Source organism: Homo sapiens, chromosome 22, assembly GCF_000001405.40.
Source record: "Homo sapiens chromosome 22, GRCh38.p14 Primary Assembly".
NCBI classification, from domain to species: domain Eukaryota; kingdom Metazoa; phylum Chordata; class Mammalia; order Primates; family Hominidae; genus Homo; species Homo sapiens.
The window spans coordinates 24,443,561-24,455,837 of NC_000022.11; the positions used below are offsets into that span (position 1 = coordinate 24,443,561).

The 12,277-nt window shown below is 46.6% G+C and overlaps 1 long non-coding RNA gene across 2 annotated transcripts in view, besides 2 other annotated features; it reads right to left on the minus strand.

The window, feature by feature from the left end:
* The window catches only part of ADORA2A-AS1 (ADORA2A antisense RNA 1), a 65,869-nt gene that overhangs the window by 14,355 nt on the left and 39,237 nt on the right, over nt 1–12,277 (minus strand). The window contains exon 5 of one of the 2 annotated variants that reach the window (NR_028483.2): nt 8,651–8,768. The exons of the other annotated variant lie outside the window; for it this stretch is intronic. This is a non-coding gene — a long non-coding RNA (ADORA2A antisense RNA 1). The remainder of the gene's footprint in view (nt 1–8,650; nt 8,769–12,277) is intronic. 2 annotated transcript variants of the gene reach the window in all.
* Nucleotides 1,157–1,348: a silencer, noted in NCBI's record as "fragment chr22:24840685-24840876 (GRCh37/hg19 assembly coordinates)". NCBI's record gives its function as "represses an EF-1alpha promoter that drives an FKBP-Casp9 reporter gene in an ReSE screen in phorbol 12-myristate 13-acetate-treated (for megakaryocytic differentiation) K562 erythroleukemia cells {active_cell/tissue: K562(+PMA)}" and the evidence as "EXISTENCE:reporter gene assay evidence [ECO:0000049][PMID:32094911]".
* Nucleotides 1,993–2,112: a silencer, noted in NCBI's record as "silent region_13552". NCBI's record gives its function as "represses an Ori minimal core promoter by ATAC-STARR-seq in GM12878 lymphoblastoid cells {active_cell/tissue: GM12878}" and the evidence as "EXISTENCE:reporter gene assay evidence [ECO:0000049][PMID:35858748]".

Consider the following 12,277-nt stretch of genomic DNA (forward strand, 5'->3'; position numbering starts at 1 on the left):
CTCAAACTCCTGACTTCATGATCCGCCTGTCTCGGCCTCCCAAAGTGCTGGGATTACAGGCGTGAGCCACCGCGCCCAGCCCTTTCCATTGCACTTCTTTACACTTTTAGTATATGGATGCCTGCAAAACTATCCCAAAACCAACAAAGGATTGTTTTAGCTATCTCACTGTTATATCCTCAGAGGTCCTCTAGACTGGCTGCACAGGAGAAATACCTAGGAAGCTTCAATCAGCACCAAAGCCTCAGTCCCTTGCCCCAGAGACACTGGATTAATTGGCTAGGGTAGATCAAGTAATTCCCCAGGGGGTTCTTATGGACAGCCAGGACAACCTATAAGGAGCCACTGATACAAATGCACTGAGTCCACCCCCTGTCCACACCAGCTTCCTCCCTCCTAGGATCTGCACTGGCTGTGGGCTGAGGGTGGAACAGTGGCTGGGGTATGCCTGAGAAGACCAAGAGCACAGAAGCTGCCAGTCCTCATGAGCAATTGGTGGGAAGAGGCCAGAAAGAGAACTACAAAGGTAGGGAAGAATGAAATCCCGTCTCTCCAGCCTTTTCTGAGACCTTGGGAACCAGACTTTGAGTACTGAGCTAGATGGGTGTAGGCTTTGGGGCTGGGAGAACAGGGCCAGGGGCTCAGCAAAGGCTTCTAGGTACAAATGGGCCCTAGTCCTCCCAGGGCCAGCTCCTGCCTAGTGGTAGAGCACAGGCCTCCTCATGTCCTCAGGAGCTTAGGGTCCCATGTCCACACCCACCCCATGTTGGTTCCCACCGTCAGCAGGCCTGAGTGTAAGCACATGGGCAGAGACCTGAACATATGCAGGCATCATTCCTCTGACGATAAGAGAATACATTTGTGCACATATAAACATGCTAGGGGGCAGAGCCCACCTCAACAGGAATAAGTGCCCACAGCAGCAGCATGAGGGAGATGTGAAGACTGGTGAAGGGCATGAGCAACATCCCAGCGCCATGGGGTGCAGGCTATGCCCTGGTCTACACTGCTCTGGGCCAGGCTGCCAGGAGCTGTGGCCTGGGCTGCTCCAAGCCCTGCAGCTCTGTGGAAGGGCCCCTCTCCACCCTCTCCCTGCCCTTCCCAAAGGGCTACGGGTGGATAACATGCTTCATTCAGGCCTGTCCCACGCATAAGGGTCCCATCACAGATCCATGTTCTTGATAGCCCCAGCCCCCCTCTACAGCAGGTGTTGCCAGGCCACAGGGAGGTCTGAGAGCAGGGGTCTGGCTCAGGCTCAGCCTTGGCTCATCACTGGCCCTCACAAGAGACAAGCCCTCCGGAGGGCTCCCTTTCACCCTCCTCCTCTAACCACCCCTCCTGAAACCCTACCTTAATCTGGTTGGATTAAGGCCCTATCCTCTGGGAGGCATCACCCGGGGGCTCAGGGAGCTGAGTAGGGCCACAGTTCAGTGCGCTGACCAGGGGACAGCAAACCACAGCAGGGCAGGAAGAGGGGCCACCTGGGTGCTGTGAGGAAATGAGCTGCTGATGCTCCCTGCATCTTCTGGGACTTGGTATCCCAGAAATGGGAAACTGGTCTTTTCAACTGTGGTGGGGAAACAAGAACCCGGGGGAATCCAACTGCTCAGCATGTGGGAAGGGCTCTGCGCAGCCCGCCCCTGCTCCTGGGGCCGCAGGGAAAAGTGGGTGAGGCCAGCACTCTGTGCCTGGGATGCCACTGCTGTCCTGCGATGTTGTGCTGCTCCCCCGCATGGCTGCTGCTACGGGCTCTTGCCACAGCTGGACACCCTCCCCTGAGCTCCAGTGCCGGACAACTGTTTTCTGAGCATGCTAAGCAATGACCCTCTGCTGACGGGAGAAGTTACTTTAGAGGGGACAGAACTTAGGAAGACCCAGGTGTGCTGTGAGGCAAGTGGCTCCCTCCCTGACCCTTACTGCTCAGTGTGCAAGGTTACCACCTTCTCCTCCTCCCCACACCCATCCCCCCTCTCTCCCAAGGTGCCCCTCATTGCTGCTGTCACTCATCATTAGCAGTCACTGTCATTGTTAGGACAGCCCCTGTCAGGCTGCAGAGCCAAGGGAGGGGGCAGGAGAATGTCAGATGACTCACACAACCTCAAAAGAGGGGGATGGACACACAACACAGAACCTAGCTACAAGAAGCACCTCGTGAGACTCTGGTTCAACCCTTTCTTTTTCCAGAGAAGAAAGAGCAGCTTAGCAGAGTTTCCTGACAAGTCCCTCTGCTTCCCACTAGTCAGGCTTGGAGGGAGGCTGGCCTAGGAGAAAGGCCAGGCCAGGAAGTCAGCATGAGGCTGGGCAGGTGACAGGTGTAGCCAACCCAGGGTCCTCTGAGGGAGGTGGGGAAGGCTTTGCATGGACCCATCCACACTTCTTTGCCTTGTCCAAGGAAGTGTTTCCGTTTGGGGGAGGAGAGGAGTGACTCTTTGTCAAATCAGCCATCTGGACTGTCACCTAACGACCAGCTAAGCCCTCGGATCAAGCTGGTTAGGACCTGAGCCCTGTCTCCTGGCTCTCTGTCCCTCTCCCAACCACTTAATGAGCCCTTGCTGATGCACACTGAGCCGGGGGCAGGACGCAGGGAGCCAACAACTGACTGAGGGGAATAAGCCCGACGGGGAGAATAAGCCCGACGGAGGGAATAAGCCTGTGAGGGACACACAGGCTCTCAGAGGAGGTGAAAACCACACGCCAGCGGGCAGTCAGGATGGGCTTCACAGAGGGGGCCACACCAAGCTGGCCTGTCAGAGGCCGGCGGTCAGCTCCAGGGCCCCATCTCTTCAATGTGTTAGTCAGGAAATAAGAACAAGGAGGGGCTGAGTAAATCTGCGCCTGATTTTCATCTGCCTACACTGAATTATGCCATCCATTTGGAGGCAATTTTCAAGTTAAAATGTTGTCAGAAGGCTGTCACAGTTTTTATCTTTCTTTTCTGTTCTTTCTCAACCCACCCACATTTTCTAGTTAGGTTGGAAAGGGGAGTGAGGGGGATAGAGCCTGGTTTATATTCAGAGATTTCTGGAATTGTTAAAGATAGATGAGACTTTTAGAAATTATCAAGTTTTCTCTTAGGAAAATTGAGTCCCAGTCCAATATCACAATTAATTGTTCTTTCAGTTCCAGAACTTTTAGGGGAACTGGAGGGACCTGGCCAGGCATCCTGCAGGCTATCTCTTGGGGTTTCAGCTTGATTCTCTCTGCTGCCTGGTTCAGAGATGCCCAATAATCCCACCACTTGCTCCTTCCAGCCACCACCCTGTTCCACTGACTGCTGAACGGGGAGTCAAAGCACCAGTTTCAATCCCTGGTCTTGCCATTGACTTCTTTGACAGGACAAGTCACTGAGCTGCCACACCTACTTTTACATAAAATGAGTTAATAAATGTGGGCCGGGCGCGGTGGCTCACGCCTGTAATCCCAGCACTTTGGGAGGCCAAGGTGGGTGGATCACCTGAGGTCAGGAGTTCAAGACCAGCCTGGCCAACGTGGTGAAACCCTGTCTCTACTAAAAAAGACAAATAAAAATTAGCTGGGCATGGTGGCAAGTGCCTGTAATCCCAGCTACTTGGGAGGATGAGGAAGGAGAATCTCTTGAGCCTGGGAGGCAGAGGTTGCAGTGAGCCGAGATTGTACCATTGCACTCCTGCCTGGGCAACAAGAGTGAAACTCTGTCTCAAAAAAATAAATAAATGTGGCAGTGCTTTGGAAGGTATATTTAACACAAATGCCCAGGATGATGATGATCATTATTATTGCAGTAATAAATCCATTCTCAGCTCAGAAAAATAAGAGGGTAACCAATCAATAGCTCCAGTGTTCTTGGAATCAGAGAGTGGAAAGGAGGCTGGGAGGGAAGGAAGATGGGGTGGCAGGGAGGAGAGCTACTGACCACCTTCTATATTCTGATCACTGACATTGCCCAGCCATTGCCAGAGGGAGAAATGTGGTGGGTATGAGTTCAAGCCAGGCACCTGGAAGTCCCTGATCTCTGGGTGCCGGGAGGTGGGTGTGGAACTGGCAGACGACCTAGGCAAGGGTCACTGATTATGGATCATTTACTTTCTTCAACCCTATACTGTCCCATCTGTTTATGAAAGTCTAGACATTAGGGAAATTTAGACTTATCTAAGAGGTTAATGGAGAAGGGATACAGTAAATGTCTGGGCCAACAGAGTCAGGATTCAAAATGACCTCAAAGGGCTGGACAGATAAAACTGAGCAAGGACCAGTGTAAAGTCCTGCTCAGACCGGATGTGGTGGCTCACTCCTGTATCTGAGCACTTTGGGAGGCCAAGGCAGGTGGATCACTTGCAGTCAGGAGTTTGAGACCAGCCTGGCCAATATGGTGAAACCCCGTCTCTACTAAAAATACAAAAACTAGCCAGGCACGGTGGCTCATGCCTGTAATCCCAGCATTTTTGGAAGGCCGAGGTGGGCAGATTGCCTGAGGTCAGGAGTTTGAAACCAGTCTGGCCAACATGGTGACACCCCGTTTCTACTAAAAATACAACAAAATTAGCCAGGCGTGGTGACAGGCACCTGTAATCCCAGCTACCCGGTAGGCTGAGGCAGGGGAATTGCTTGAACCAGGGAGGTGGAGGTTGCAGTGAGCCGAGATCATGCCACTACACTCCAGCCTGGGCGAAAGAGCAAGACTCCGTCTAAAAAAAAAAAAAAACAAAACAAAAAAAACTAGCCATATGTGGTGGTGCATGCCTGTAGTCCCAGCTACTCGGGAGGCTCAGGCAAGGGAATCACTTGAACCTGGGAGGCAGAGGTTGCAGTGAGCTGAGATCACGCCACTGCACTCCAACCTGAGCAACAGCGAGACTCCATCTCAAAAAAAAAAAAAAAAAAAAAAAAAAAAACCCAAAAAAAAGCCTGCTCAATTTCAGAAAAAGCCAATGTGCAGGGAGGAGTGGGAGGATAGAGAGACCCAGCCTACTATCAGTTCAGGTCAAAACAACATGGACACTACAGTTACTCAGTTGAGCACTGGCTAACACCGTGGGACAGGCTGGGAAAGAAGCAACTGCAGCCTCAAGCTGCACTGACATCCTAGTTACTAGGAAGTGAGTCCCAGGCTACAGGGACTCACCAGGTACCCACTCAAGGCAGGAGACATGCTCATTTCTCAACACCACCTGCTCATGAACAAACTGAAATGAGTTTGTCATTTTGTGCCTGCAAACAAGACGGTAACCTCCCAATGACACTCAACGAATTAACAAGTGGCCAAAGGAAGGGGATCAAGACAGGGAGCATCTAGAAACTGAAAATGTCTGGAGGACATGAGGTTGGAGAAGACTTAGGGAGAGCTATGGTGAACAGATCAGATGAGAGAAACAGCTTGCATTGTGCTATTCCAAAAGGCACAACTGGGCTCACAGAAGCTTCAGCAGAATAACTAGTTCACGTTAAAGGCCACCAAGATGCAACAATTTGAGACTCATGGCTGGGTCTTCAGTGATCCAAGGACAGTCATGTCAGGATATTCAGGTGCTTGCTGGCCTGGAAGAGGCCTGGACCCCCTTATGGGCCTTGAGGAGACTTCTCTGTACTTCGAGGGCACAAGGCTAGTGAAGATGGCTCATCTTTTGTGGCCAGAATTGCCTTCAGTTCAGTTTTCAGTTCATGGAAGCCCAGAGCAGGTATGTGGGATAAGACAGAGGATTAGGAGGAGGGAATGACAACATATACATTAAAAAGTCACTACCTGCATCAAATGTATGAGTATAGCTGGGAGACAACTACCTGGTATGGATTGAAAGGCATCAAAGAGGCCCAGAGTCCTGTATTAACAGAATACACCCCAAGGCCAAAAATTCCTCCTTAGATGACAGCAGTATTACCCCAAGTGAAGGACATTTGCCATCTGGGGAGGGTACCATGATGATTTATTGGGTCAACATGTGGACATCCAGCAGAGAAGCCTGGAGGGGCTGAGACATAGGGTAGAGAAGGCATCCTGCAGCCCAGGGTTAAGCAAACTCTGCCAACTTTACAAAATGCTCTCACCCAAGGAGTGCCAGAGGGTGAAGCTGGGGAGGGTCCTCATCCACTTCCTCCATCCTACCCCATACTTCCTGTGGCCACTTCTTACTTCCCTAATCCTATTAGTAGGAGCTCTTCTCCTTATCTTCCCAAATCCAATCTATTGCATTCTGTTAATTCTTTCTGAACATCTTTGGAATCTGTTCCATCCACTCTACCCCTCAGTAACCCCTCAAAGTCATGGTCTTGGCGGAGGCACTATCATCTCTACCAACCTGAATACACTCCAAACAGACCTCTTTGTTGATCTCTTTTACCGCAATCTATTCAGCCCAAGCAGTCAGATTAATATCTCCAAAGCACAGCATCAGCCATGTCCCTCCCTTGCTCCAAAACATTTAGTGGACCCTAAATATGCAGCAGATCAAGTCCACCTTCTTTCTGTGGCCATTCAAGGACACAGCTTTGCCCTCCAGCCTGTCTCTGACCACCCACTTTCCTACCCACTACCCTGCTCCTCACTGTGCCAAACTGAACTGTCTACCATCCTCTTACCCCATTCCCTGCCTTTGTCTCTCAGGCAGGCCACTTTGCCTGGGATGCTGTCACTCCCCTACTTTAGACAATTCCCATGCTTCAGGGACCACCTGAAGAGCCGTCTCTTCCATGAAGATGGAGGGAGACTTTGCTGAAATCCTCTTTTCCCCTTCCTGAGCGCCTTTAGATGCATGCCTGTCCCACGCACCAGAAGTTTGTTACCTGCTTCTGATGACATCTCTTCTGCTGCTAAGTTATGACTTAACGCCTGAATAATGTGCTGGTTTTCACCAGTGTATGTTCTATTTTCCTACCAAGACTATAAATTTGAATCCCAGAGAGAGGAGTGGGGATGGTATCTCCTCCATCCTAGGGCGAAGCATAGCAACACTTGGTAAGGCACACTGACTGGGTCGAGAGACCTGGGTTTTAGTTCTCTGCTGCCATTAACTGGTCATGTGACTTTGGGTTTCCTTCCCTGCAAAATGATGAAGCAGTGGATACATATCGCTTCCAGCTCTGGTATTCTCTGAGTCTATTTGACTGTGGGCTGACCCACCCAGCTCTAGGCCTGGCTAGGGAAGGAGCAAGGGAGGCTATGGACAAGCCCAGGGAGAGAGAGAGGGAGAGGGAGATGGGGAGCTAATAGCTCTGGAGGAAGGAAGGACATGCTGGGCTAATGGGATAATTGGATAATCCTCAGAGCTAGGGGCTGCCAGGCTGGGGCCAGCTGTTAGAAGCAGACACAAATAGCACAAGCAAAACAAGGGCGCTGATGCAGGAAGCAGCTTGCTGAGAGATATGGAGGAAGGTGGGTGGTGGCCAGAGGGTGGGGGAGGGGACAAAGAGAAACTGGAGCCCCTTTCTGTTGAAATTTTGAGGACAGGATCTTAAGGTCTTGTACTCTGACCCCATTTAGAAAGACTGCATTTAAGGATCCTGGCCTTCTATATACCAAAGAACATTCTTAGAGACCAGTGGTTTATCTTGGCCTCCACAGTGTCCTGGCCACCAAGGACCTTTAAGGACCATAAAGCCCTCATCTTTGCCCATTGAGGGTTATCTGTAAATGGGGCATCCATTTGACATGCCTGTGAAAATATTGCTGGACTCTTACAAAATATTAATTTTAGATACATGACTCAGTGGGTCCCTTCATTTCAGGCAGATAAGTGGTTCTGTCAGTGGGGTTGGGCACAGAACAAAAGAAATTTTGGAGGGGTCTAGGACCCAACTCTGCTAGGTCACATAAGTCATGACCTCAGTGACTGGACCTCAGTTAGCCCATCTATAAAATGGGGACAATAAGCATTACCCTCCCTGCAAGGCTGTTGTGGAGATAAAATGAGATCATGAATGGGAAAGTAATTTGAAATGCAAGTGCTTTGCCAAGCACTTTAGTCCCAACTCTGTTTCTAATTTTGTATGATTTTAGAAAGGCTATTTCCTTTCTCTGAGTTCCAGTGTCTTCCACTATAAGATGATGAGATCAGACTAGATGCTCTTTAAATTCCCTTCTAATTCTAATGACTCTAATTCTTATTAAAAATAGTATATTTACATTTGTATACCCTATAAGGACAGTATGAGAAAAGAAAATTAGAGGCCAATTTTATTAATGAACATAGATATAAAATACTAAAGATTAGCAAGCCATATCTAGCAATGTACAAAAAAATATATAAATCATTATCCAGTAGGGTTTATCCCAGGAATGCAAGGATGGTTTCACATCAGATAATCATTCAATATCATTCATATTAATAAGTTAAAGAACACTAAAGGAGAATCTCAACAGATGCAGAAAATGCATTTGATTTAAAAAAGTCAACACCCAATCATAGAAAAAACTGTTAGCAAACTAGAAATATAAAAACATTTTCTTAACTCAATAAAGTATATTTTTCAACATCTCACTGAACACACCATAGTCAATGGTGAAATAGAAGCCTTCTCTTTCGGTCAGGCACGGTGGCTCATGTCTGTAATCCCAGCACATTGGGAGGCTGAGGTGGGCAGATCACGAGGTCAGGAGTTCAAGACCAGCCTGGCCAACATGGTGAAACCCCATCTCCACTAAAGAATACAAAAATTAGCTGGTTGTGGTGGCACATACCTGTAATCCCAGCTACACGGGAGCCTGAGGCAGGAGAATCGCTTGAAGCCAGAAGGCAGAGATTGCACTGAACTGAGATCACGCCACTACACTGCAGCCTGGACTACAGAGGGAGACTCTATCTCAAAAAAATAAATAAAAAAAATAAGAAGCCTTCTCTTTCTAGTCAAGACCAAACCCACTATTCTATCCAATATAGTACTAAAGTTCCTAGAGATCACAATAATACATGAAAAAGAAAAGAAACAAAATAACATTATCTGCAGCTGAATTAACTGTCTATATAGAAAAATTCAAAACATTTCTTTGGAATATTATTGGAACTAATGAGAGTTTATCAAGGCTGTCGGATATAAAATCAACATAAAAAACCAACAGCATTCCTATAGGGCAGCAAAAACTATTATAAGTCATTTAAAATATATCATTTATAATAGTAGCAAAAACCAGAAGGTACCTAGAATAAATCCAACAAATGCACAAAAAGAAGACTCAGATGAGGAGATGTGCCATGTTCATGGATGGGAAGAATCAATACTATAAAACTGGCAATTATCCCCAGTCCATCTGGAAATCAAGTGTAATCCTTTAAAATTTCCAATAGATTTTCTTTCATAAATTATACATTTTGGATCCTAAAAATCATTTGAAAAGAAAAAAGGCCAAGAAGAGCCACAATAATCTTCTTCCTTTTAAAGAAGGTGAAGAATTGTCCTAACATACAATAGTGTGGTACAGGAACAGGCAAACAGATGAAGTGAATGAGACACAAAGGTTAGAAGCAAACCTGTCTTTGTATGGGAATGTGGTATGTGGTAGAGGTCACATTACAAACCACAGAAAAAGCATGGAAGGTTCATTAAGTGGTTCTGAAACATGGAAAGGTAAAATTGAAGACAAAGGTGAAAGAAACAAAGATCTTTAACACTTTAAAAAGCAAATATATGAAAATGTCTTTATGACCTCTGGCCAAAGATTTCTTAAAACACAAAAGCAAAGCCATAAAAGAATATGCTGCTAAATTAACTAATGAAACTTTAAAAAAAATTTTTTTCATGAAGAAACAACGTAAAGTACAAAGACAAGCCACAGACTGGAAGAAGGTATCTGCAATGCATATAATCAATAAAGGATTAGTGTCTGTAATATATAACTCCTATGAAAATAAACAAAGATATTATCAGACACCTTAGAAGAAAAAACCTAAATGATCAACAAACACATGAAAATAAATTCGATCTCACTAGTAATTAGGAAAATGAAAATTAAAATATATTTTACCACCATTCACAGTCAGCCAACTAGCAACAATTTAAAAGTCTTGGTGGGGAACAGAAATACATAATACCTAGTAGAGTTGAAGATGTGAATAGCCTATAACCTAGCATTTTCCATTTCTAAGCCTCAATCTTCAATCAAGTCACACACATATTTTTAAAAACCATGCACTTGGATGTTCATTGTGTCACTGTAATACTAAAAATGTCAAAGCAACATTTTTAGTATTTCTTAGTATCTTTTAGAGTTAGAATGGATATATGAACTGTGGTTTACTACTTCAATGAACTATCATACAGCAGGCAAAATAAATGAACTCATTATATCAACACCTGTTCTATATTCCAAGTTAAATTTCTCTAGCTATTTCCAGACCAGACCTTGAATTTCCACCTTTGTGCCAGTGCTCATGGTTATTGTCTTTCCTCTCACTTTTAGCCCAAATTTTAATGATATAATTTAAATGCCCCTTCCTCCTAAAACATCCCAGGATCCTTTAAATTCTGATATTAGAAATTAGAAAACCAAGACCAAAAAAAGTTGAGTCATGCTAAGTTCACATGGCAGATGACTGGCAGAATTGGAACCAGAACCCTGGTCTTTATATCCGTCTTTATACCCATGCAAGGCCACAGATAATCTCAAAAGATGATAAAATACAGAACAAATCCCAATTCCTAGCCTAGGCCACTTTATCCCACAAACATCCCTGGAACAGCTGTGGTCCCAGCTTCTACAACCCCTTCTAGCCTGTGAAGTGTTAAGATCTGGCTTCACTACTATGTGACTATGAGTCTATGTGACGTTGAGTAAGTCAAACTCTCTTGTGCCTCAGTTTCCTTATCTGTTAGCTGCCAATAATTCCTGCCTGGCTACTGCATAAGCTCATTAATAGAATCAAACGAAATAAACGATAATAAACTAGAATTGTATTAAATACATAGAAATATTTACCTTTTTATTATTTTCAAGATATAGAAATGCCTGCCCTCTTGCTAAAAGAATCATGGGATGTCTGATTTGTAAATAAATTTAATTTTGAGAGTTTGCCATTGCTTGGTGATGGAGGGGAGATGTTGTCCTTATACAAGAAGCAGGACTCTGAAAGCTCTACTCCCTTTTCCTGCCCTCTTCTGCTTGGAGGTTTTGTGCCACTGAGTTCCTTGGCACAGGAGGACCAGCAGGCAGACTGGGGTCCCCGGAGGCGGGAGCAGCCAGCCCTGACAAAATACTGAAGTTGGTCAAGATTGTCTTTAAAATCTCTTCCCTGTGCTCTTTCCCCCGGTTTAGCCTTCGCTACATCTTTCCTGGGTTACTGAGGAAGGGGTTCTATACAACCTCCTCCCTCTCCACCAACCACTATTCAGTTTCCCACCATTCAAGATCTACAAGGGGCCAGGCGCGGTGGCTCACGCCTGTAATCCCAGCACTTTGGGAGGCCGAGCTGGGCGAATCACTTGAGGCCAGAAGTTTGAGACCAGCCTGGCCAACATGGAGAAACCCCATCTCTACTAAAAATACAAAAATTAGCCAGGTATGTGGCACACATCTGTAATCCTGGCTACTCGGGAGGCTGAAGCAGGAGAATTGCTTGAACCCGGGAGGCAAAGGCTGCAGTGAACTGAGATCACACCACTGCACTCCAGCCTGGGTGATAAGAGTGAGACTCCATCTCTAAAAAAAAAATAAAAATAAAAAAGACCCACAAGGACCAAAGACTACGAGGTTGGGAAATGTGCCTGGCCCCATTTTGGCAGAGTCAGTATTCAACAAATGCTGAACTGAGCCAAAAGGACTGCCTGTGTGTCTTCCCCATTAACCAGCAGCTTTGTCCTAAGCAGGTCCTCCTGTTCACAAGGAAAACGTCTGATGGTTCCCTTCCCACAGACTACTGGGGACCACTGCATTTGCCCTCCCCTCCTAGGCTCTATGCATTTTCAGACAGGCCCCTGGAGAGGAATGGTAAACCTGGGGGCGGTCACATAGGGCAGTTAGGGCAGTGGAGGGAGGAACAACGGTTGAGAGTGTAGGGGCTTGAGGACTCTACTCCCTTCCCTTTCTTGCCCTGACTCCTCTGCTGCAGCCCAGAGGTGTCACACCACCATGTTCCCTGACATCAGCAGGCAGGTGGCCTGAGGTGTCTACAGTCAGAGCTACGGCTGAGAAAGGCTTTGAAGTTACACAGGTTATGTTACCTCTCTTTTTTCATTTTTAAAATAAAGAAATATTTTCCATTCTCCTGCTTTACAAAGCTGTTAAGAAGATTAAATGTAAAAACGAGTAAAAAGAGAAGTAGGACAGTCAAGTCTGCCAGGCCCTCCTGCCTGTGACCCTTGGGTCGCTGCCAGC